The following is a 26862-nucleotide window of genomic DNA, read 5'->3' as shown; positions in this document are numbered from 1 at the left end:
AAGCTGGAGTGCAAGTGCTATTCACAGACCGATCATGGCATACTACAGCCTCAAACTCCTGGTTTCAAGCAAGTGGCTAAGACCACAAACGTGTGTCAGCGCACCCAGCTCTTTTCATATCATTTTTACTACCTTTTCCCATCCCACGCAAAAAATGCAGAATACAGAAACTTACCCACACAAGCATTGAGGAAGAGCCAATCAGTCTTTTTCATCCTGTTTTTAATTTGCTTTAGTTTTTTAAAGTCTACTTCAAGTTCCTCCTTGCTTCCCACAGCACCAGCCAATTCAATCCTCTGAAAATCCATTTTCACTTCAGAGTCCCGCTTCGTAGCAGGAGGTGATCTCCTTTGGCTATTACCACTACTGCAACTTCCCCTCCATCGAGCTCTGTCTTGCTCATTTATTATTGAAGAAGCCTCTTCAGTCTCTGCCAATTCTATTGCTTCAATGTTATTAGGTCTGGGATGATCACAAACAACACATCTTTTAGCCTTGGCCCAGTTTTCATATGTGCAAACAGAGCAAGTCCAGTGCTGTGTCCTAGTGTTCAGTTTATTTCTATCATTGTATTCCTCACAAGGATCAACAGAAAAAGCAACTGGTCTTGAGCCAGATCCTGAGGACTGAGGAGATTCTGTAGGACTCCTGGTCCTACGTTGGGATAAGCACTGGGTACATCTGATTGCTCTTGGCCAGTTCAAATATGTACACATGTGGCATGACCACTTATTTGCATTTTCCATGCTATACGAAGATTTCACCCTTGGTCTTGCACTAGAGTCTGGACATATCAAAGGACTACTTCCTCCTTCGGTGCTGGAAGGATCCCAATCTCTACCAACATCACTTGAACCACTTTTAAATGGATCTTCTGTAATAATTGTTCCACTAGGTCTTTGGGCACGACACATAGTACACTTGATTGCAGATGGCCAGTTTTCATACGTACAATATTCACAAGCCCACTTAATTCCACGTTCTGACATTGTGCACTTCTTGAAGTGAGCTGTGTCAGGCAGGAAGCTATAAATAATTAGGACATGGTTATTAAAATAACTACATTCCACCTCCAAAAATACGCTGCCCAAAAAGCAAGTCCTTCAACCTACAAAATATAAATTTCTCAAAAGATGCATGCAACATTTCGACATTGAATTATCCTAATTTTCTTTTTTAATTTCCATAGAAACACTGGAGATAAATTCTCAAAGAAAAAATCTTAGACCCTGGGATTTAATAAAACTGAACTTTGGAATGCAAAAGAGATAGGCAGGAGATATAACGAGGTTTGATCTAAGAAGGATGAGATTAACGGGAAGCCACTAATAGAAATGTTTAATTTCAGGGAGGCCATCACATCAATTTAGAAAAGTAACCAATAGTTTAAAGAGACAAAGGTAGAGGAAACAACACAAACTAAAAAATAGCTTAAACACATAACCATTCTCAAATTATGAACACAGATTATGATTCATGAATTCAGAAGATCAAGCAACGTCTATTTTATCATTCTCGCTAAGGGAGAAAAGCAACTTAAAATGCTAATTATCCACTGTTCTTAATTAGCACAGGTAGTAAAGAAACATGTTGAGAAGTAATGGCTACAATTAACAAAGTAACATTATGAAATAGGTAGTTCCTTGATAATCTGTAGCCTCAAAATCTAGTTCTATCTGGAGTAAAAAAAAGAAGACTGTACTGGGGAAAATTAAATCTGTGGAAGGTCACTGAAATAACCAGTAGCATAATCATTCCAATATAATTGTGAATGTTCATAATTAAAATATTTTAAATTTTGAATATTTAAAATATACTCAAAATCTAATTCATGGCCGGGGGCAGTAGCTCAAGCCTATAATCCCAGCATTTTGGGAGGCTGAGGCGGGTAGATCACAAGGTCAGGAGTTCAAGACCAGCCTGGCCAAGATGGTAAAGCCCCGTCTCTATAAAAATACAAAAATTAGCCGTGCATGGTGGTAGGTGCCTGTAATCCCAGCTACTCAGGAGGCTGAGGCAGAGAACTGCTTGAACCCGGCAGGCAGAGGTTGCAGTGAGCTAAGATCGCACCACTGCACTCTAGCCTGGGTGACAGAGTGAGACTCCATCCCCTGCCCCCCAAAAAATCCAATTCATATTTAAAAGATATTCACACTACTTAAAAGATTTCTAGGATTCAACAATGGGCTAACACTACACTATAATGAAGAAAGACTTCATAATTTAATGGCAACTAATTCATAAATGAAGCAACTTACATAACAAATTTAATTTTTTTTTTTTTAATGGCTTGAATTTAGACACTGGCCACTTTTCCTAAATACTTTTATCAACTCAGTATCATCCCAACACCTATTTTTCACCCGGAAAGAGAAAGAAATCCTAGGCAGAGTATAGAAGCTTTGCTCTCTCTTTCTCAGGGATTTTTCCTGAACCTAGAGGGTTAAATCTTTTGTTTGTTTGTTTTTTTGTTGTTGTTGTTTTCATTTTTGTTTTTTTGAGATGGAGTCTTGCTATGTTTTGCCCAGGCTGGAATGCAGTGGAGTGGTGCAATCTAAGCTCACTGCAACCTCCACCTCCCAGGTTCAAGCGATTCTCCTGCCTCAGCCTCCCAAGTAGCCGAGATTACAGGTGCATGCCACCATGCCCGGCTAATTTTTGTATTTTTAGTAGAGATAGGGTTTCAGCATCTTGGCCGGGCTTCTCTTGATGAACTCCTGACCTCGTGATCCACCCACCTCGACCTCCCAAAGTGCTAGGATTACAGGCATGAACCACCACGCCTGGCCTAAATCTTTCACTTTTGAAGTATACTGTATTATGTTCCTGCCTGCCAAGTCCATACACCATTTATAGTGTGAACTCTGCTAAGAAGAAAAAAAAATCACTATAAGAAAGTATACTACTTAATAGCTAAAATAAAAACCACACTTACTAAGATTTTAGTTCCCACGCTATAACCTCCACCTTGCACATGATTAGAATAAAAGTACGGTTTGCAAATCAGATCAAAGACAAGATTCCGTCTTCATGCTGGCTCAGAATTCTGACTTCCTCAGGAGATACTGCAAAACGTGATAAGTGGTTCTGTCTGACTGAATAGCTATTCCTGTAAAGGAGACCAAAACTGAATTTCACTTGAAGCCTGCTACTTTAGCTAAAAGATTTTTAAGGCTTTATTTTTATCAATTCTCTATTTTAACCCTACTCACTTATTTTAACAATGGACAACTATATTTAGAATTTTAATTTAACAAAACAATAAAATTGGCTAATCAACTGGGCTGGTCAGCCAAATTAAACATGGATGAGACATTTTTCTATATAACCTTAACCCTGTGCTGTGTACACAGTTCTAATATTACTATTAATTTGGCAGTGCTAAGTTAATTCCTACCTGTATTACTCTATTACTAAAAGGGAAAAGATGATAAAATCCAAAAAAGTAGAAAAAGCAAAATAATTGCTTATATTTAGCTATGAAACCACCTTCAGCAACTGCATTTTTTTCCCTGATCCAAGTAATATAAAATTATCTTGTTTAAATTTTTAAATTTAGTTTGTATAATGATTACTTACAAACTGATAGCAGCCCAAAAATGTGTGGAAGAGCAGAGAACTATAATGATATAACCATCCAGAAAGTAGACAATACAGATTTAATGGCAATTTTCATACTCTTTAGGCAGATTCTTTTAGTTTCTCGGGAATGAAATATAAGTTACTTGCTCATGCTACTGGAAATTAAAATGAGCATGTAGAAACTTATTAACAAGATAAATGCCATAATGAACATATATCCAGGGCTACTCTAAGTAATTTCAATATATCTTTTAAAATATTCACATTCAAAATCCATACTTGTTTTGATAAGTCTTACTATGTTTGTAGGTGCAACTAAACAGCCCGTAACCTTATGTTATCTTAGCTAATCTTCATGTAACTAATATGCTGGCACAATATATTTAAATGTCCAGGCTGATTTAAAAAACAAACAAAAAACTGTCATAAAAAATAATCACTGTCATAAATGCCTGGTAAAATAATGGACAGACAGCTGCCTAATTAGCCCACCAACCTCTGAAAATCCAGGTAACTAAGCAATACCAAAACCAAGCTCAAGAGTTTTGAGATGTGCCTTATATTAGATAATAAGCACAGTGGCTCAAGTCTTTAATCCCAGCACTTTGGGAGAATGAGGTGGGAGGATCACTTGAGTCCAGGATTCAAGACCAACCTGGGCAACACAGCAAGACTCCATCACTACAAAAAAGGAAAAAAAAAAAAAAACACGATTTTTGTTGTTGTTGAGACAGTCTCACTTTGTCACCCAAGCTGGAGTGCAGTGGCACAATCTTGGCTCACTGCAGCCTTCACTCCCAGGTTCAAGTGAATCTCCTGCCTCAGCCTCCAGAGTAGCTGGGACCACAGGCGCATCCCACCATGCCCAGCCAATTTTTTTATTTTTAGTAGAGACGGAGTTTCACTGTGTTGGCCAGGCTGGTCTCAAACTCCTGGCCTCAAGTGATCCACCTGCCTCAGCGTCCCAAAGAGCTGGCATTACAGGCGCGAGCCACTATGCCCGACCAAAAAAAAAACTTTTTTTTAATTAGCCAGGTGCAGTCGCCTGTGCCTATAGTCCCAGCTACTCAGGAGGCCAAGGAAGGAGTATCATTTGAGTACAGGAGTTCAAGACTACAGTGAGTTATGATTGTGCTACTGTGCTTCAGCCTGGGATGACAGAGCAAGGCTGTCTCAAGGAAAAAAAAAAAAAAACGTAATGATGTACAGTGTTCACTCTGAGAGAACTTGAAACATTGCAGGAATGTTGTTTAGTAACTGCAAGGTAAAATTCATTGAAGAGTGGCTAGGTGCTCACGCCTGTAATCCCAGCACAGGAGGCCTAGGTAGGTGGATTGCTTGAATCCAAGAGTTCGAGACCAGCCTGGGCAACATGGCAAAACCACATCTCTTCAAAAAATACAAAAATTAGCCCAGGGTGGTGGCACATGCCTGTAGTCCCAGCTACTCAGGAGGCTGAGGCAGGAGGATCGCTTCAGCCCAGGGGACTTGAGGCTGCAGTGAGCCATGATCACACCATTGCACTCAGAGTGAGACTTTGTCTCAAAAAAAAAAAAGAAAAGAAAAAATTCATTGAAGATTATCTGAGACAGCCATTTCTACCTGTGGTAATTAGTAAACAGCACTGAACAGTAAGGATAACATCAACTGAACTATGTGTTTTTTTGCAGTATTACAAAGAAATTAACAGAGTACACTTTTTCCAGATGTCAAAACATTCCAAAAAGTACATAAAATTATTTCCAAAGTAGCCAGCTCTAAAAGTTAATACTCTACCTTGAAATAAAACTTACCAAATATCACTTTAAGTATTAAATATATTCATACGCCCAAGTAAATTTAGTTTACAAGTTTAATTTTGCATGCAAAGCAGATTTGCAAATTCTATCCAAGGACTCAAACTTCAATTAATTGGTAAAATAAAACCACAATAAAATCAACATAATCTAGGCCTTCTTTAAGGAGAACGGGACAAAACTGCTACTCTTAAGACAAATATTCCTTGGTTCAAATGCAATACCAACAGTTCCCATCCTGTGGACCAAGGAGACCAGGAATCCATTTGTGCATCAAGCTCTGCCTGTAGAATGAATAATGTCTCTAAATATATCAACCATTTACTACTACTAAATTGACAAGTACTAAATTCGTAACTGTTTTTAATTATATACTTTCCAATTCAGATAATAAAAGTGCAGAAATATGGTATATGTACTAATAGCAGGCGGGGGAAAGGGACTTACATAATGGAACATTTTTTATACTGTCATGTTTAATATTTGTGAAGCATTACTAAACACTGTACAAGAATTATATTTATATTGAAGTCAATTCCTCAAAATTGTAGCTACACTACAAATTTCCCCAACCACCTACTAAACAATCATAGAGAACTGAAGAAATGAAATAATTCTCGGTGGGGCGCAATGGCTGATGCCTATAATCCCAGCACTTTGGGAGGCCGAGGCGGGTGGATCACTTGAGGTCAGGAGTTCAAGACCAGCCTGGTCAACATGGCGAAACCCCGTCTCTACCAAAAACACAAAACTTGCTGGGCGTGGTGGCAGGTGCCTATAATCCCAGCTACTCGGGAGGCTGAGGCAAGATAATCACTTGAACCCAGGAGGTGGAGGTTGCAGCGAGCCGAGACTGCAGCACTGCACTCCAGTCTGGGCAACAAGAGCGAAACTCCATCTCAAAAAAAAAAAAAAAAAAAATACACACAAATAATTCTCTTCAAGTGCAAACTCAGGAAACAAACTGAGATAAGCTCAATTGCCAGTAGTTTCAAATGATGAGAAGTTATACTACTCAGCTACTCAGGAGGCTGAGGCAGGAGAATTGCTTGAACCTGGGAGGTGTAGGTTGTAGTGAGCAGAGATTGCGCCACTGCACTCCAGCCCGGGCGGCCCGGCGAGACTCTGTCTCAAACAACAACAACAACAAAAAGCAGCCTTAAAGATTTTTATTAGCTTTATTAATACAAATTTATACTTACTAATATAAATAATTATTAGCTTATTAATATAAATCTGCGGAGATTTACAAATGCTCAGAGAACATCTTAGGGATATAAAGACGAAAGCTAAAACTAAAACGGATTTTCCAAGCATGCTAAATTTTCAGGCTCTTAAAATATTACAAAGCAATTTTGAACTATAAAATTTCTGTAAATAAAAAACTTCAAACTACTTAACTCTTAAGCCAAAGTATCGCACATACTCATCTCTTTTCTCATCAGTATATTCTTTCATCACTGTCTTCTTCGCAATAGTCAACAGGAAAAACAACCGGTCTAGACCAGGATCGTGAAGATCGATGATATGGTAAAACCCTTTATCTACAAATCTAACCTCATTTCAGGGCTTCACCAGGTTATCAAATCCTCCATTAAACCCCTTATTTTCTTCTCACAACAAACTCCTATCTTGACTTCTCCAGTTTCCATTAATGACACTATTAATACCTCTGCACCCAGCAGAGAACTCAGAATCACCTTAAATTCTGCCTTCTCCCCACAGATTCTTTCTAGTGGTTTCTATCTAATTACTGTCTTCTCATTCCCACTGCCATCAATCCTTTTCCAGTTCAGGTCAGAACTACCATAAAAGCCTTCTAAGCATCTTCCCTTTCTAAATCCATCCAGCTGACTGTTCCACAATTCTCTTTCTGAGGCTCTTCTGCAACAGTATAAACTCTCAACTCCTTCCTGTCACAAACACACACACCACTCACTCCCAAACATGCCACACACGCCCGACTCATGCATGTGTCACCACCACCCAACATACACATGAAGGTACTGCCTTAGATACAGAAGCACAATAGACACCCTCATTTATAATGAACTCTACCCATCCTTTAAGGCTCAGTTCAAGTCTCATCTTCATGAAGTTTTCAACTCACTCCAAGTACACTCCAAGCAACCATACTTTTATTGACATTTGGCACTTTATATTTCCTCTTGGGGCTAGTTTTTGGAACGCTAATTCATATATGTTTTTCCTATGTCACTCACATCCTTCTATTTCCATCCCTCCCTTCGATTTCCAGTCAAACAGCCAGGCTTTCAAAAACCTTTGTTCAGAGATTCCAGTGGCACGGAAGGTAGACCAGCACCTTGTGTTTAGTAAAACCCAAGAAGAGGCCATGTTGAATGACTTGATGAAAGAAAGGAGTAGACCTTGTGAGCAATCTCAGAAGAAATTCTAGAGAGGATGGAATCAACTCCATGGCAGCAACTGAACAGGCAGCAAGACCTCAGTAAAAAGTGTCTGCTAGATATAAACTAGGTGTCAAGCCACAGGCACTAGGGCCCACAGTTGGTGGCAGAGCCACAGAACCTGATGGAACCTTGTGGAAGGCAATGGAAGACAGTATCATAACCAATGCAGGCAAAATCTGAACCATATGACACCAGGCCTTCCAATAACATGAGGAGAGGGGACCCCAAGGATGACTGAGGTTGAATTTCTTGCCAAAGAAGTAGAAGTCAAATCAAGTTAATTTAAAGAAAGCAAATGTGGTACCTTCTTTCTATCTGAGTTTTTGGACTAAGATTCATGTTTGATACACTTGTTATGTCTTCCTATATCCTTGACCAGATTATAAACTGAGCAAAACCTATTACATGTTTTTCTCTCATTTCATAACACACCAGTTAGGTCCATACTTAAGTATACAACTACATCAACAAATAGCTAGAATATTACACAGCAAGCCATGACTTCAGCACCTTCACATTCTAGCCCCATTAAAAAATTTGTAACATGTAATTGAATCCACGAAATTATTAAACACTTTTGCCTCTGCAACTTCGGCATTTGAAATAAAAAGAACTCTTAGGCAAAATACAACAATCACTAAATTATTTGTTAAATGGCTTAGTCTGAAGCTCTCTGGTTCTATAATCCACAATTAAACATACTGTTCTCACATGGCTTCCAAGACATTCTCCTGGTTTTCCTCCAATCTCAGTAGCTTTTCTTCCTCAAACTTCTTTGTTGGCTTCCTTATCTTTCTGAATTAAAGAGCCAAGTGCCCCAAGCTTTGGTCCTCTTCTCTCTAACCTCTAACTACTTTGGGGATCTTAGACAATCCCTGGGCTTTAAATATCATCTACTTCATGATAATTTAAAAATTTGTATCTCCAAGTTGGATCTCTCCCCTAACTCAAGATTTGTAAAACCAGTTGCCCACCTGACATCTCAATTTGAAGGTTTAACAAGTTTCTCACACTTAACATGTCCAAAACTCAATTCGTAATCAGAATTTCCTATTTCTGAGCCTCAGTTTTCCCATCTACAAATTAAAGGGATTAGACTACTAAAAGCCGCAAAATTGTTCAATAAATGTTTGTTCCTTTCGTCACTGCTCTGAAAGTCTACCATCCAGAGCACTGTGGCAACCCATAAGCTGGTTAACTATTCAAATCTTGCTATGACAATGACACAAGTACAAAACTTTTGCAATCATTAAGTATCTTCTAAAAGTCCTAAATTAGTGTGAAATTGTATGTAAATAATCAATAATTAGATCTCAAAAATGAGCTGGCATTCCTATAAAAAGAGGTCACTATTATCTATGGCATCTGTATCAAATGAGTAGATCTGAACTAAACACACTGTACTCTTCCCAGGAATTTGTGGATAAGTTGGACAAGGTAAAATTAAATAACACCTGCCAGGGTGACCTTGGCCTTATCAGCACTATGCCTTAATTAACTGAGGTGATTACCCTCTACAACTACAACTAACTTCATTCCAACCAAACCTAAATCTTCAAAATGTAACGAATTTAAATGTTACATTTTAATCTGTCAAGGATACATTAGAAAAAACTGTAATAAAAGTTACAACTCTAATGGTCTTGTTTTCTTTTAAACCACTAGACAATTAGCAATCCACTGACTAGAATGAAAGAAGATCTTAAAGACAAAAAGTTAACTTACATTGTGTCAAATCTAGCATGAAACAATATTAATGCTCTTTCTGTTCATCTTGTCATCTCAGGAGGATTTCTAGCTCTTTACATACTTACTCTATCTGAACACTTCAGTTCCTCAATCGTAACAAGAAAGTGAGCGGGTGTAATACAGGTATGTCTTGAGCTTCAGCAGAACCTATCTTAGAGCATAGTTCCTTTACACAGTTTGAGACATCCCAGGTCAATCACGTACCTTAAATCACAATCCCAAACAAAACTAATGTAACAACCTATGACAACATTTACCAAAGGTTTACCATGCACTCAGAAATATGGAGAGATATAACTAGACAAAACACTGTCCCTGTGCTCAGAGAACCTGCAATCTAACTGGATGAAAGACCACAGTTTTCTTAAACATGTATGGAAATGGAACAATTAACTCCAAAAATACACAGCAATCCAGCATTTAAATAATAATAAAACAACTTTTGCAAGAACTATGAACATGCTACTTCATTCAGAATTTAATTTCTGTCAGCCAGGCACAGTGGCTCACGCCTGTAAACCCAGCACTTTGGGAGGCTGAGGCAGGTGGATCACGAGGTCAGGAGTTTGAGACCAGCCTGACCAACATGGTGAAACCCTGTCTCTATTAAAAATACGAAAAAATTAGCTGGGCATGGTGGCGCGCACCTGTAACCCCAGCTACTCAGGAGGCTGAGGCAGGAGAATCGCTTGAACCTGGGAGGTGGACGTTGCAGTGAGCCGAGATCGCGCCATTGCTCTCCAGCCTGGGCAACAAGAGCAAAATTCCATCTCAAAAAAAAAAAAAAAGAAAGAAAAGAAAGTAAACTGATTAAGCTGGACTTCACTGATTATTTAAAACTTCTGCTCTGTGAAAGACACTGTCAAGAGAATAAGAATACCAAAAACCAGAAAAAAAATTTGCAAAAGATAAGTGACTATTATCCAAAATACACGAAGAACTCTTAAAACTCAGTAAGAAAACCACTTAACTGAAAAATGGGCAAAAGATCTGAACAGACACCTCACCGAAGAATATATATAGGTGGTAAATAAGCATATGAAAAGATGTTGAACATCTTTTCAAATGCAGGGGGGTGGCTCGCGCCTATAATCCCAGCACTTTGGGAGGCCAAGGTGGGCTGATCACCTGAGGTCAGGAGTTCAAGACCAGCCTGGCCAACATGGTGAAACCCTGTCTCTACTAAAAATACAAAAATACACCATACATCATTAGGTAATTACAAATTAAAACAATTAGATACCACCACATACTTACTAGAATGGCTAAAATCCAAAACACTGACACTAACAAATGCTATCAAGAATGTGGAGCAACAGGAACTCTCATTCATTGCTGGTGGGAATTCAAAATCATACCTGTAATCCCAGCACTCTGGGAGGCCGAGGTGGGTGGATTACTTGAGGTCAGGAGTTCAAGACCAGCCTGGCCAACATGGTAAAACCCCATCTCTACTAAAATTATAAAAAACTAGCCAGGTGCGGTGGCGGGTACCTGTAGTTCCAGCTACTTGGGAGGCTGAAGCACAAGAATCACTTGAACCCAGGAGGCAGAGGTTGCAGTGAGCCAAGAACGCACCACTACACTCCAGCCTGGGCAACAGAGTGAGACTCCATCTCAAAAAAAAAAAAAAAAAAAAAAAAAATCTTTACACCCGTATAGTGTGGGAATTTTTTTCTAATTGCAAAAAGTTGGAAAGAACCAAGATGTCCTTCAGTGGGTGAATGGATAAACTGTGGTACATCCAGACAATGGAATATTATACAGCTCTAAAAACAAATGGGCTATAAAGCTACAGAAAGACATGGATGAACCTTAAATGCATACTACTAAGTGACAGACAACCTGAAACAGTTACATAATGTATGATTCCAACTATATGACATTCTAGAAAAGGCAAAACATGAAGACAGTAAAAAGATCAGGGGATTGCAAGAGTTAGAGGGAAGGGATGAATAGGAAGAGCACAGAGGAGTTTTAGAGCAGTGAAATCACTGTGTGCTATTATGATAGATACTTTTCATTATAAATTTGTCAAAGCCCATAGAATCTACAGAGTGAATCCTACTGTAAATTATGTACTTTGGGTGATTATGTGTCAATGTTGGTTCATTAATTGTTAACAAATATACCACTCTGTGGAAGGATGTAGACAGTGGGGGAAACATGGGGGCAGCAGGTGTATGGGAACTCTCTGTATTTTCTGCTCAATTTTGTTGTGAACTTAACACTGCTCTAAAAAATAAAGTATTTTTAGGCCAGGCGCAGTGGCTCACGCCTGTAATCCCAGCATTTTGGGAGGCTGAGGTGGGCAGATCACCAGAGATCAGGAGCTCAAGACCAGCCTGGTCAACATGGTGAAACCTTGTCTCTACCAAAAATACAAAAATTAGCCGGGAGTCGTGGTGGGCACCTGTAATCCCAGCTACTGGGGAGGCTGAGGCAGGAGAATCACTTGAACCTAGGAGGCAAAGGCTGCAGTGAGCCGAGACCACACTACTGCACTCCAGCCTGGGCAACAGAGCAAGACTCTGTCTCAAAAAATAATAATAACGGAGAGTATTTAAAATGACACAGGGCTGGAGCAGTAGGAACCACTGCTGTAATCCTAGCACCTTGGGAGGCCTAGGAGTTCAAGATCAGCCTGGGCAACATAGTGAGACTCCATCTCTACAAAAAATCGTTATAAAGTTAGCCCGGTATGGTGGCACACGCCTGTAGTCCCAGCTAGGCTGAGGTGAGAGGATCACTTGAGCCCGGAAGGTCAATGCTGCAGTGAGCTATGATCACACCACTGCACTACAGCCAAGAGAAAAAGCAAAATCTTGTCTCCAAAAAATACATTTATATCCTTAAGAGGGCATAAAAAGCCCTTCATGACTAACTGATTTTTGGTTTTTAACAGAGAGGGTCTTACTCTGTGGCCTAAGCTAGAGCAGCATGATCATGGCTCACTGCAACCTCGACCTCCCAGACTCAAGTGATCCTCCCACCTCAGCCTCCAGAGTAGCTGGGCCTACAGGCGCACACCATTACACCGAGCTATTTTTTAAATTTTTATTAGAGACAAGGTCTCATACATTGTCCAGGCTAATCTCGAACTCCAGGCCTCAATCTTCTCGACTCAGCCTTCCAAAGTGCTGGGTTTACAGGCATGAGCCACTGCACATAGCCATGATTAATCTTTTAAGTATCTTCTCAGCTACTCTTCCAAATATATACGTCAAGAATATCCTATAATATTTCCCTTTAATAATTTATTATCTTTCACTAAAGCATAGAAATGTACTTTACTATGGAAAAACCACTTTCATCTCTTGATATTTATACCTAGTTCTCTCACATATATGAAAATGTACCAGGTCAGGTACCGTGGCTCATGCCTGTAATCCCAGCACTTTGGGAGGCCAAGGCAGGCGGATCACCTAAGGTCAGGAGTTTGAGACCAGCCTGGCCAACATGGTGAAACCCTGTCTCTACTAAAAATACAAAAATTAGCTGGATATGGTGGTGGGTACCTATAATCCCAGCTACTCAGGAGGCTGAGGCAGGAGAATTGCTTGAACCCAGGAGGAGGAGGCTGCAGTGAGCCAAGGTTGCACCACTGCACTCCAGCCTGGGCGACAGAGTGAGAATCCATGAAAGAAAGAAAGACAGAAGGAAAGGAAGGAAGGAAATGTACTGCACTTTCAAAATGTGAGTTTGAGTCCCTCTCCCTCTCTTACATCTGAAATACTAGCCAAAGCCTTAGAACCCAAGCCTCACATCTGAAAAAATGGGGACCATAATGGCTTACCTATCTTTAAGTGGAGGGCTAAAACTGATCACTTCAAAACCCATTAACATCACGAACACTCGCCAGCTTGATGTAACATCAACTTAAGTTTTGTACGGAGCTTTAGGTAAAGAACAGTAACTTCATTGAATCCTCAGGTACCTTCCCTCTTAAAGTACCCCATATCTTTTTTTTTTTTTTTTTTTTGAGACAGAGTCTCGCTCTGTTGCCCAGGCTGGAGTGCGATGGCAGATCTCACCTCACTGCAACCTCTGCCTCCCAGGTTCAAGTGATTCTCCTGCCTCAGCCTCCTAAGTAGCTGGGACTACAGGCGTGTGCCACCAAACCCAGCTACTTTTTGTATTTTTGATAGAGACAGGGTTTCACTATGTTGGCCAGGCTGGTCTCGAACTCCTGACCTCATGATCCACCCGCCTCGGCCTCCCACAGTGCTGGGATTACAGGCATGAGCCACGGCGCCCAGCCTCCATTTTTATGAATAAGAATCTGTGTTGGCCAGGCGCGGTGGCTCACACTTGTAATCCCAGCACTTTGGGAGGCAGAGGTGGGCAGATCACGAGGTCAGGAGATCGAGACCAACCTGACCAACATGGTGAAACCCCGTCTCTACTAAAAAGACAAAAAAAAATTAGCCAGGTGTGGTGGTGCGCACCTGTAATCCCAGCTACTCAGGAGGCTGAGGCAGGAGAATTGCTTGAATACTGTAGACGGACGTTGCAGTGAGCCGAGATCTCGCCACTGCACTCCAGCCTGGGCAACAGAGACTCCGTTACAAAAAAAAAAAAAAGAATCTGTGCCTTCAGGAGAGGTGAAACATCTCGTCCAGGGTCACAAGGCTAGGAAGTGAACCCCAGTTCTGACTCCAGTACCCTCTTGCTAATGCACCACAACCTTCCATGATTATAAACACATTGTCCAAGATTATCAGGCTACAAAACAGATTAGCTAGCTACCACTGATACTACCTCCTAAACAAGTCCCCAAAAGTTTGCTTCATTCCAGACTCCCCTGCTATACCCCTATTCCAAGCCACCATTATTTGTCACTTGGATTACTGCAGAGACTAAGTGATCTAGCACTTCCACTCTATCCACCATCCTTACACAGAATAAAATTAAAACTCCCCAGCCTTACTTACAAATTTTTACATAAAGTGACTTTCTGTTCCTTTTACAAGTCAAGATGATTCTCCCTTTAGGTGCTTTGTATTAGAAATCTCCTCTGCCTAGAATGTTATTTCCCCAGATTTTCCACATCATTCTTGTCATTGAGATATCAGTTTAAATGTCACCTCTTCAGAAAGATTTTCTCTGACCACTCAGGCATTCTCCATCACATCACCCTACTTTAATTTTCTGCACAGCACTTATCACTATCTGACATTTCTTTCTTCATTTGTCTCTCCACACTAGAGCGTAAATAGAACACAATTAGCAAAGACTTTGTCTTGTTCACAGATGTATCCCAACATTTCGTATACGTTTAACAATGAACAGATTATGTTTTGTATGCAATCATCTTTTCAACAGTATTTTATGTAATCTTTTAGAAAATCCTAAGCAACTTCAAATCACATAGGAGGTGCCCAATAATAAAAAAGAATTTACTAAAATAATTTCTATAAAAACAATGCCTTCAACACTTCTAATATATACCACAAATATCCCTGACATATCTTCCCAATACACACTCACAGTTGCACAGTTGGGGAGGGGTGGGTAATGGCTCTTCACATCTGTAAAGATGATCCACACTTAAGGAGATCACTCCTCCCTTCTAATTCCCAGCCCCAGGGGAAGGTGAGGATCAAGTGCTAAGAGTGCCTTTCCAACCTCATCCGCATGCTTCGGCGACACCGTAGCCTCTGCTAGTCCCTAAAGATGACATGTAATTTTCATGTCTCCATGCCTTCACTCGTAACAGGATGCTTGCCTACTCCTATTCCCCTTCTTACCCCGTTTTATATACCTAGAAATCTGGTACTGCTCCTTCAAGGACCAGCTTAAATGTTCCCACCTCGGTAAAGCCCATCCTGACCAACCCCAATCTCATGTTACTGAATAAACTTAGTTCTTTTATTTATTTTTTCTTTTTTTCAGACAGTCTTGCTCTATCACCCAGGCTGTAGTGCAGTGATGCGATCTCAGCTCACTGCAACCTCCATCTCCCAGGTTCAAGCAATTCTTATGCCTCAGCCTCCCAAGAAGCTGGGATTATGGGCATGTGCCACCACGCCCAGCTAATTTTTGTGTTTTTGGTAGAGATGGGGTTTCGCCATGTTGGCCAGGCTGGTCTCCAACTCCTGGCCTCAAGTGATCTGCCCGCCTCAGCCTCCCAAAGTGCTGGGATTACAGGAATGACCCACCGCGCCAGGCCTTTAATCCCTTCTTTACCACTTCAAAACAAACTTCTAAAATAGTTCTTAGTTTACTGAATTATGATTTGTTTCTAACACTGAACTGTGAAAAACTCATTATGTCCCTAAACAGTATCTCCATGTAAACATTGCTTATTAATCATTTAGTTAATAAAAAGAAACTTAATATTCTGCTGGTATCAAAAGATAGTATTCCACAAAAAGTTTAGTTAGTTCGGAAAACTGAACTAGTTCCCGTTTAAAAATAAACTTTAGCTCCATTAAATACCAAAAAGTGAAGTTAATTACCCACCACAAACAAAAGAGGAAAGGATTTAGAAGTGGTTTAAAAATCACAGAAGTGATGTCTTCAGAATTCCACTCACAAGTGTATTGTTTCAACTTTTACTGTGCAACACTAAGAGAGATCCTTTCCTTCTGCTGCAGAATAGGGATAATTTCTTCATATATCCAGGGAATCCTGCCTTGCAATAAATCAACTTACAGTTGAGAATTACAGGGCCGGGCGCGGTGGCTCACGCCTGTAATCCCAGCACTTTGGGAGGCCGAGGCGGGCGGATCACGAGATCAGGAGATCGAGACCATTCTGGCTAACACGGTGAAACCCCATCTCCACTAAAAATACAAAAAATTAGCCGGGCGAGGTGGCGGGCGCCTGTAGTCCCAGCTACTCAGGAGGCTGAGGCAAGAGGATGGCGTGAACCCCAGGGGGCGGAGCCTGCAGTGAGCCGAGATCGCGCCACTGCACTCCAGCCTGGGCGACAGCGAGACTCCATCTCAAAAAAAGAAAAAAAGAGAATTACAGTGATAGCCTGCATAACCATGTGTCAATCGAAGACAGACTGTATATGTGACAGTAGTCCCCATAAGATTATATAACAAAGCTGAAAAATTTGCCTTGTGACGTCAAAGCCACCATAATGTCATGGCACAATACATTCATTACTCACGTTTGTAGTGATGCTGGTGTAAACAAACCTACTGCGCTGGCAGTCTAGCTATGTGTAGCATGTAAAATTATATACAGTACGTAATATCTGATCATGATAATAAGTATGTTACCAGTTTGTTTACTATACTTTTTATTGTCATTTTACAATGTTACTCCTACTTCCTTTAAAAAAAAAAGTCTACTGTAAAGAAGCCCTAGGCAGGTCCTTCAGGAGGTATTCTAGAAGGCATTGTTATCACAGATGATAGCTCTACGCATGTTATTGCCCCCGAAGACCTTCCAGTGGGACAAGATGTACAGGTGGAAGACAGTGATACTGATGATCCTGGCCCTGTGTAGGCCTAAGCTAACGTGTGTCCTAGTTTTTGGCAAAAAAAGCTTATAAGGTAAGGATCTAAAGAACCAAAATATTTTTGTGCAGCTACACAATGTGTTTGTGTTTTAAGTGTTACTACAAAAGTCTAAAGTTTTTTTAAAAATTAAAAATTTATAAAGTTAAAAAGTTACAATAAGCTAAGATTAATTTATTTTTGAAGAAAATTTTTTAAATAAACTTAGTGTAGCCAAAGTGTTCACTGTCTATGAAGTCTACAGTGGTGTATAGTAATGTCCTTGACATTCATTCATCACTCACTCACTGACTTACCCAGAGCAACTTCCAGTTTTGCAAGCTCCATTCCCCTATACAGGTGTACCATTTTTTATCTTTTACACCATATTTCTACTGTGCTTTTTCTATGTTTATGTTTACACTCATGAATACTTATCTTTGTGTTAGAAAAACACCACAGTATTCAATACAGTAACATGCTATACAGCGTTTATGGCCTAGGAACAACAGGCTATAACCCATGGCCTACTGTGCAGTAGGCTATACTATCTAGGTTTTGTCTAAGTAGACTCTATGATGTTCGCACAACGACAAAATCACCTAAAAATGCATTGCTCAGAACATTTAAGCAACGCGTGACTGTGCACTGCTAAAACTAAGTGTGTTTCAACAAATGATGCAGGGATAACCAGACAGCCACATGCAAAAAAACTCAGTTGGACCTCTGCCTCAAATTATACACAAAGCTCAACTCAAAATGATCAGAGACCTAAATTTGAGAGCTAAAACTAAGAAACTCTTAGAAGAAAACATAAATTGTCATGACCCTGGGTTAGGCAAAAGCACAAGTGACAAAAGAAAACATAGGTAACTTAATCAAATTAAAAACTTTTGTGCTTCAAAGAACACCATAAAGAAGGTGAAAACACAACCCACAGACAGAAGAAAGTATTTGCAAATACAGGAAGGGAATTGTATCCAGAATACATAAAGAACTCTTGCAAAAAATCACCAACAAAAAGACAAATAACCCAAATGAAAAATGGGCAAAACACTGAAATAAACACCACTCTAAACAAGATATGCAAATGGCCAAGAAGCACATGAAAAGATGCTCATCATTAGTCATTAGGGAAATGCAAATAAAAACTAGGAGATGCCATTCCACTAGAATGACAATTTAAAAAAAAAACAGACAATAACAAGTGTTGATTAGGATGTAGAGAAACGGAACATATATTGCTGGCAGAAATGTAAAATGGGCAGGGAGCAGTGGCTCACGCCTGTAATCCCAGCATTTTGGGAGGCCGAGGCGGGTGGATCACTTGAGGTCAGGAGTTCGAGACCAGCCTGGTCAACATAATGAAACCTCATCTCTACTAAAAAAATACAAAAATTAGCCAGGCATGGTGGTGCGTGCCTGTAGTCCCAGCTACTCAGGAAGCTGAGACATGAGAATCGCCTGAACCCGGGAGGCGGAGGTTGCAGTGAGCCGAGATCACGCCACTGCACTCCAGCCTGGGCAGACAAACTGAGACGCTGTCTCAAAAAAAAAAAAAACAGCAAAATGATGCAACCACTTTGGAAAACAGGCAGAAAGTTCCTCAAAGGTTAAACATAATTAGCACATGACCCAGCAATTCCATCTGTAGGTATATACCCAAGAGAAGTAAAAACTTACATCTGAACAAAAACTTGTACACAAATGTTCACAGCAGTATAATAGCCAAAAAGTGGAAAAAATCCAAATGCCCATCAATCAATGAATGGATAAACAAAATGCTGTTTATACAATGGAGTATCAGCCAGCCACAAAAAGGAATGAAGTACTGACACATGCCACAACATAAACCTTGGAAGTATTATAAGAGAAAAAAGCCACATAAACGGTCATATATTGTACAATTCCATTTACGACATATCCAGAATAGGCAAATCTAGAGAGACAAAGTAGATTAGTGGTTGCCAGGAGCTGAGGCAAGGCGGAAATGACTCCTTAATGAGTACAGAGTTTCTTTTTGGGGTCATGAAAATGTTCCAGGATTATATAGTGGTTGGTAATGGCTGTACAACTCTGTTAAGTATACTAAAAACTACTGAATTGTATACTTTAAAGGGGTGAATTTTATGGTATATGAAATACACCTCAATGAAGCTGCTTTTTTTTTTTTTTAGAAAAAACTGGAAAGATTTGCAACTGATTCCAATTAATATCACGCATTCAAATATTTTTTATTTATATGAATTAAAACCACCCACATTATGGCCAGGTGCGGAGGCTCATCAAGCCTGCAGTCCCAGCACTTTGGGAGGCCAAGGCGGGCAGATCACTTGAACTCAGGAGTTTGACACCAGCCTGAGTAACGTACCAAGACCCCATCTCAAAAAAAAAAGAAAGAGACCACCCACATTAAAAATTGACTTGACAAAGGATGAAAAACCAAAACTGCGGTGTGTGAGTTCAGGAGTGAGAGGGACAGTTTGCCCTCAATATATGAACAATAAAAATAACAAAAATTCTTTTTTTTTGGTAAGAGATAGGGTCTTGCTACTTTGCCCAGTTATATGGTTTGGCTCTGTGTCCCCACCCAAATCTCATTGCCAACTGTAATCCCCATGTGTCAAGGGAGGGACCCGGTGGGAAGTGACCGGATCATGGGGGCGGTTTCCCCTATGCTGTTCTTGAGATACTGAGTGAGTTCTCAGGAGATCTGATAGTTTAAAAGCGTGGCACTTCCCCTGCTCACTCTCTCTCTCCTGCCTTGTGAAGGTGCTTTTTTTCTCTTCACCTTCTACCATAAGTTTCATGAAGCCTCCCCAGTCATGAGAAACTGTTAGTCAGTTAAACCCCTTTTCTTTATAAATTACCAATCTCAGGTAGTTCTTTTTCTTTTCTTCCGAGGCAGGCTGAAGCGCAGTGGCACAATCTCGGCTCACTGCAACCTCCACCTCCTGGGTTCAAGATTCTCCTGCCTTGGCCTCCCAAAGTGCTGGGATTACAGGTGCGCACCACCACGCCCAGCTAATTTTTTTGAATTTTTAGTAGAGACACGGTTTCACCATGTTGGTCAGGTTGGTCTCGAACTCCTGATCTCGTGATCCACCTGCCTTGGCCTCCCAAAGTGCTGGGATTACAGGTATGAGCCACAGCACCTGGCATCAGCTAGTTTGTTTTTTTTGTTTGTTTGTTTTTGAGACAGAGTCTTGCTCTGTCGCCCAGGCTGGAGTGTAGCTCGGCTCTCTGCAACCTCTGCCTCCTGGGTTCAAGCAATTCTCCTGCCTCAGCCTCCCGAGTAACTGAGACTACAGGTGTGCACCACCATGCCCAGCCAATTTTTGTGTTTTTAGTAGAGACGAGGTTTCACCATGTTGGCCAGGATGGTCTTGAACTCCTGACCTTGTGATCTACCCGCCTAGGCCTCCTAATGTGCTGGGATCACAGGAGTGAGCCACTGCGCCCGGCTGATAGTTCTTTATAGCAATGTGAAAACAAACTAATACACCCAGACTGGACTCGAATTCCTGGGATCAAGCGATCCTCCCACCTGAGCCTCCCATGTAGCTGGGACTACAGCCACATGACACCACGCCTGGGTAGTAGTTTATTTTTTTCATTACTAAAAAATTTAGGGCCAGGCGCAGTGGCTTACCACGGCTGAATACAAAAATTAGCCAGGCAAGGCTGGGCACAGTGGCTCACGCCTGTAATCCCAGCACTTTGGGAGGCAGAGGCGGGCAGATCACGAGGTCAGTTCGAGACCAGCCGGGCCAACACGGTGACACCCCATCTCTACTAAAAGATACAAAAAAATGAGCTGGGCATGGTGGCACGTGCCTGTAATCCCAGCTACTCAGAAGGCTGAGGCAGGAGAATCACTTCAAGCCGGGTGGTGGAGGTTGCAGTGAGCTGAGATCGTGCCATTGTACTCCAGCCTGGGTAACAGGGAGAGACTCCATCTTAAAAAAAAAAAAAAAAAATTAGCCAGGTGTGGTGGCACGCATCTGTAGTCTCAGCTACTGGGGAGGCTGAAGTGAGAGGATAGCTTGAGCCTGGGAAGTCAAGGCTGCAGTGAGTTGTGATCATGCCATACACTCCAGCCTGGGCAACACAGTGAGACCCTATTAAAAAAAAAATATATATATACATATATTTTACATATATATATATATTTTACATATATATATATATTTTACATATATATATATATATTTTACATATATATATAATTTGGGCTCAGGGGTTCATGCCAATAATCCCAGCACTTTGGGAGGCCAAGGCAAGAGGATTGGTTGAGCCCAGGAATTCAAGACCAGCCTGGGGGCAATATAGAGAGATCTTGTCTCTACAAAAAATTTTTTTAAAAAGCCAGGCACAATGGTACACACCTATAGTTCCAGCTACTTGGGAGGCTAAAGTGGGAGGACAGTTTGTTGAGTCATGATCAGCACTGCACTCTGGCCTGGGAGACACAGCAAGACCCTGTGTCAAAAAAAATTTTTTTTAATTTAATTCACTAGGCAGCAGAAAAAATATTAATTTTATATTCAATTTACCTGGCCAACCCCCATTTTAAAATTCAAACTTATGGCTCCTGTCAAAAACTTCATGGAATTAACCAAAATACCACCCTTCCAAAAAGCAAAGAATGCTTACGGATCCAGATTTTTCAGGTGGTGAAATCACTGGTATAATTCTATGAAAATACCTTTTACAAATCTAGTAGCCTAAAATGCCTACTATTTCTGAAAAGTTTATGGACAGTCATTTTAACTTCAATGATGCTAAAAGGTTTCTGACACTTGAAAAAAAATACTTTTTATATACTTTCTAAAAATGAATTTCAAGGGGAAAAATATTTTATTGAACTGGAGAAAGAGGACAGGTTTCCACATAGATGTAGTAGGTAAGTCAAGATGGTTTAGTGCCAAGAGACTGTGTACCCATAAAATACCATACCTCCTACTCATCCAATACAAGAGAAACACACACACCTATTTTCCAAATGCATCAGCATTCACCTATGTACTACATAATTACATGTGTTATCCTTGGTATACAAAAATTCTGTGGACCAGCTTATTTTTCATTCAAGACGGTTGACAGGTAGCAGTAGTGAATCACATATTCTCCTGTCTCATCTGCCTTATCATCAGTGACACAGGCTGCCAACATCTGAGGTTAAGAATACAAACTGAGGCTACAGATTATTTTCTCCTTCCCATGATGCTAAATGTTACCTCCATACAATATGGAATGACCAAACTTAGCATCCAAGACCCAAGTAACTGCCCCAGACACAAATCTGAAGTAAACCAGAGAAACATAATATTTAATTTTTATTTTAATAATATGACACAAACACTATCAAAATGCTGAACATCCTCTACAGGGCAAAGAAGTATGCTGATAATACATATAAACATACCAACCAAATTTTTAAAGAGACAGCCATAGTTTCAAGTATTTGTCTCATAAACCATAAAGTCCCAGAAACACCAATACTTACTACAGTACAAACTGCATATCCTAGAATACCTCTATAACCAAAAATACTTTGTCAGACCATGTATTCATATTTTCAGTGCTGAATATATGGTCTCCATAGATAGATACAGGGTATAGAGATATACCCATTTGGCAGAAGTCTTAAAAAACTAGTTGGGAAGCAAAATAGAAACATAAAAAGATAACTGAAATCAAGGCTAGCATATTCTAAGAAAAGAAAGTCTCACGCAAGAGAAGACTGAATAGATCCCTTGGGTTAAAGTAGTCAAAAAAGGCTTCTCTAGAGACAGGACCTCTCTTGGCCCAGAACATTGTCTCCATGAATACAAGCAGAAGAGGATTTCAAACAGAAAGAATGGCATAAAGCAAGGCCAAGAGGAGGGACTTCATAGGAACAACAAGCAAGTTAGTGTGGCTAGAGTTAGGGATTCACAAATAAATTAGAGTTAGGACTGAAGAATGGATCAGTTCCAGACTACAGAGAAACTTGAACACCACACCAAGAAGCTTGAACTTTATTTTGCCTGTATAAAGGAGTTTTCTCTAAGTCTTTATGTTGTGATGTGAGGAGGTAAGAGTGTTCAAATGTGCAAGGCATAAGGCATAAGTGGAGCACAAATATTCCAAATCGAATACCAAATCAATGAGAGGATAAGTATTCAAAGCCCAGACACAAGAGATTATTATTGGAAAGGAAGAGGCAAGCAGCAATGCCCATATAATAAAACTGAACCAAATCCGGCCGAGTGCGGTGGCTCACGCCTGTAATCCCAGCCTCTGGGAGGCCGAGGCAGGCAGATGATCATCTGAGGTCAGGAGTTCGAGACCAGCCTAGCCAACATGGTGAAACCCTGTCTCTACTAAAAATACAAAAATTAGCCAGGCGTGGTGGCACGCGCCTGTAATCCCAGCAGCTACTCGAGAGACTGAGGCAGAAGAATCGCTTGAACCCGGGAGGCGGAGGTTGTAGTGAACCGAGATCATGCCACGGCACTCCAGCCTGGGCAACACAGTGATGAGACAAGGTCTCAAAAAAAAAAAAAGGGGGGGGGGGGGCCGGGCGCGGTGGCTCACGCCTGTAATCCCAGCAGTCTGGGAGGCCGAGGCGGGTGGATCACAAGGTCAGGAGATCGAGACCATCCTGGCTAACACGGTGAAACTCCGTCTCCACTAAAAATACAAAAAATTAGCCGGGCGTGGTGGCAGGTGCCTGTAGTCCCAGCTACTCGGGAGGATGAGGCAGGAGAATGGCGTGAACACGGAAGGCGGAGGTTGCAGTGAGCGGAAATCGCGCCACTGCAATTCAGCCTGGGTGACAGAGAGAGACTACATCTCAAAAAAAAAAAAAAAAGGAGGAGGAGGAGGAAAAAAAAAAAAACCTGAACCAAATTAATAGTGGTCTACTTTTGTTTTGTTTTGAAATGGAGTCCTGCTCCGTTGCCCAGGCTGGAGTGCAGTGGCTGGATCTCGGCTCGCAGCAACCTCCGCCTCCGGCGTTCAAGAGATTCTCTTGCCTCAGCCTCCCGAGTAGCTGGGATTACAGGCACACGCCACCATACCCGGCAAATTTTCTTGTATTTTTAGTAGAGACGGGGTTTCACCATGTTGGCCAGGCTGGTCTCGAACTACTGACCTCAGGCGATCCGCCCGCCTCAACCTCCCAAAGTGCTGGGATTATAGGCATGAGCCACGGGCCCGGCCAGTGGACTACTTTTGTAATTCACATTTAAAGTTTACATTTATTATAAAGCACATGGACAAGCTCTCACTGTATCAATTACACATATGAAGCAATTTGCCTCATATATTGTACAACTAGATCATGAGTTCCAAAACTATGTTAATCCTCAGACTTTAAATGTGACATCCATAACCCCTATCAGTGTACAGACATGGATCAAGGCCATGAGCTTAAAATATATTACCATGAATGAGTTCATCACACCCAAGCACATTTCAAGAGTAAATAAATGGGTGTCCCAATGCTCTGAGGCATTAATAAAAGGTATCGAAACAGCAACAGAAATAAAATCCCTCATGACACTCAGATAACATCCTCCTCAAAAGAGCAAAATGTCATTACTGTCCTACTATCTCGTAAACCCCCAACAGCCCAATAAAAACAATGTTATGAAATTTTAGTATAAAGAGACTGCCTATCTTTAGAGCCAAAAGTCAATAGGATTCTAAATTTTTTTAGAATTCCCTCATTTAATTCAAAATAATAACAAGGAGACAAGATCCAGCTTTATTTCTCCCATAGTTCAGATGACTTTCCCAAGAGCCTTGGCACAAGCCAAGATCAAAATTCCTTATGGTTTCCCCTGGCTTATGGTTTGTACACTGAGTCATCCATGTTTGACCAAAACAGGGGTACTGCTGGATGCTGCACAAGTGATAAAAGAAGTTAACTAAAACACACAGGTAAAGAAATAACTCATTATATAATAGGTCCCAGAGTTAAAGATTTCTCTCAGGCCAAGCGCGGTGGCACATGCCTATAATCCAGGACTTTGGAAGGCCGAGGCGGGCAGATCACCTGAGGTCAGAGGTGCGAGACCAGCCTGACCAACATGGAGAAACCCCATCTCTACTAAAAATACAAAATTAGCCGGGCGTGGTGGCGCATGCCTGTAGTCCCAACTACTCGGGAGGCAGAAGCAGGAGAATCGCTTGAACCTGGGAGGCGGAGGTTGCGGTGAGCCGAGATAGCGCCACTGCACTCCAGCCTGGGTAACAAGGGGGAAACTCCGTCTCAAATACAAAAAAAAATTATCTCCAATTGTGTTCCTAAAACGGTATTTTTGCACATTAGATTTATTAACATCATCATAAACACGGTGAAACCAAAATACTGGTAAGATGGGGCGGCGCTTAAATCGATAGTCTACGGAGTTACAGAAAAGGGTAATCAACTGACTGAAATACAATATCCTCAGCAAGAGAGTTTCAAAACACCAGTGTATCTCAAAGATAATGGGCCGGTTCAAACTTCCAGGCTTAACCTAAACTGCCTGTCCCTTGCGCTTAATGCCAGCATTCACTACAGTTCTTTTGTCTGTGAAATGACCCGCACCAAACCATAGCAGAGAAAAAACAGATCCTTGCACTGAACACTCGTTACTGCGAGCAGGAGGGGTAGACGAATCTTTCCACTAGCTCCAGCTCCTCCTCCCCACCCGCCTCGTCGTCCCCCACCTTTATTTTCCTACAAATGGCAACTGGAGGCCACCGCAGGAGGTGGAAAGCAAGCGGCCGAGGGACTGAAATACAAGTTTGGAGACACCAGAACCAACTTGTGGCGATGGACCCAAGTGTTTACGGCCTATTGCGGAGTGGGAGCGAAACCCCACTCGCCGATCCGTCTCCGGCAGGAAAAGAAGTTGTGGGGAAATCTGGCGGAAGAGCGGCGGTGGGACCGGCACCGCGTCCAGCCACGGGCGGCCGGCGGTCGGTAAACAAGCTGGGCGGACCCGCCCTCCCACAGCCCCCGGGCCGTCCCCGCAACCGGAGCGCCCAAGATGGAAGCGCCGACAGCGGCGGCCCGGGCCCCTGCCCTCCCCGCGCCTGCGACGCGGTCGCCCCTGGGGCGCCGGGCGGGCGGACAGCCCGTGAGGCCCGGCAACCTGGGCGCCGCCTGGGAGCGAGGGGCCCGGCAGGCCGCGGTGGGGCGCCCCCCGGGGCCCGGTTACCTGGCGGCGGCGGCTCCTCCTCCAGCTCCTGCTCCTCCTCCCCGTCCGACGGGCGCTTGGCGGCGGCGGCGGCGGCGGCGGCGGCGGCGGCAGCGGCGACTCCCCGCGCAGCCCGCGGCTACGAGTCGAGCCCGGCCCCTCTCCGCCTCCCTTCGCGCCGCCGCCCGCCCCGCTGCTGCCGCCTCCGCCCTCTCCCCTCAGTCAGGACATGGTCTCCGAGGGTCCGCGCGCGGCTCCCGGCTGCCGGAGGCCGGGGGAGAGGAGCAGAGAGGAGGCGCGGAGACTGGGGAGCCCCGGGGGGCGGGGGCACTGAGGTGTGGGAGGCGGCCGCGGGCGCTGCGGACCCTAATGGCGGCGGCCGAGGGACCCGGAGCCAAATAAACCCCGCGGCGAGCGGCACAACGTCAAGGCCAGACCCCGCCGCTCGCCGCCCTGTCATTGGCCCCGAGGCCGCCGCCGGCGCAGCCAATGAGCGACCGCCTCTTTCCGGGCTCAGGGGGCTGGTCGACACAGGGTGACGTCAGCCGGCGCGCGGCCCTGATTGTGAGTCGGCGGCGCGCGTCGGCCCAGTTCCCGTTCCTTTCCGCGGCCGACTGCGGTCTTGAGGGTGCTGGACTGCCGCGGGGTGCGTGGCGCTCGGGGGCGCCGGCTG

At 42.4% G+C, this 26862-nt stretch overlaps 1 protein-coding gene across 6 annotated transcripts in view, besides 2 other annotated features; it reads right to left on the bottom strand.

The window, feature by feature from the left end:
- Nucleotides 1-26589, bottom strand: part of ZRANB1 (zinc finger RANBP2-type containing 1) — a 71296-nt gene extending 44707 nt beyond the window's left edge. The window contains exons 1-3 of one of the 6 annotated variants that reach the window (XM_006717907.3): nucleotides 26211-26589; nucleotides 2936-3109; nucleotides 176-1026 (exon numbers count right to left, since the gene is read on the bottom strand). In XM_006717907.3, coding sequence (XP_006717970.1) covers nucleotides 176-1026; nucleotides 2936-2976 — 892 coding nt within the window. In that variant the 5' untranslated portion in view covers nucleotides 2977-3109; nucleotides 26211-26589. Of the gene's footprint in view, nucleotides 1-175; nucleotides 1361-2935; nucleotides 10088-16213; nucleotides 16234-25716; nucleotides 25971-26210 lie in introns of those variants that run through there. The other 5 variants (XR_007061968.1, XM_047425383.1, XM_047425384.1 and 2 more) reach the window with 5 other exon arrangements.
- Nucleotides 25931-26200: a silencer, noted in NCBI's record as "silent region_2922". NCBI's record gives its function as "represses an Ori minimal core promoter by ATAC-STARR-seq in GM12878 lymphoblastoid cells {active_cell/tissue: GM12878}" and the evidence as "EXISTENCE:reporter gene assay evidence [ECO:0000049][PMID:35858748]".
- Nucleotides 26261-26620: a silencer, noted in NCBI's record as "silent region_2921". NCBI's record gives its function as "represses an Ori minimal core promoter by ATAC-STARR-seq in GM12878 lymphoblastoid cells {active_cell/tissue: GM12878}" and the evidence as "EXISTENCE:reporter gene assay evidence [ECO:0000049][PMID:35858748]".

The sequence above is a fragment of the Homo sapiens genome, chromosome 10 (genome assembly GCF_000001405.40).
Source record: "Homo sapiens chromosome 10, GRCh38.p14 Primary Assembly".
NCBI lineage: Eukaryota > Metazoa > Chordata > Mammalia > Primates > Hominidae > Homo > Homo sapiens.
This window is presented reverse-complemented; position numbering and strand designations above follow the sequence as displayed.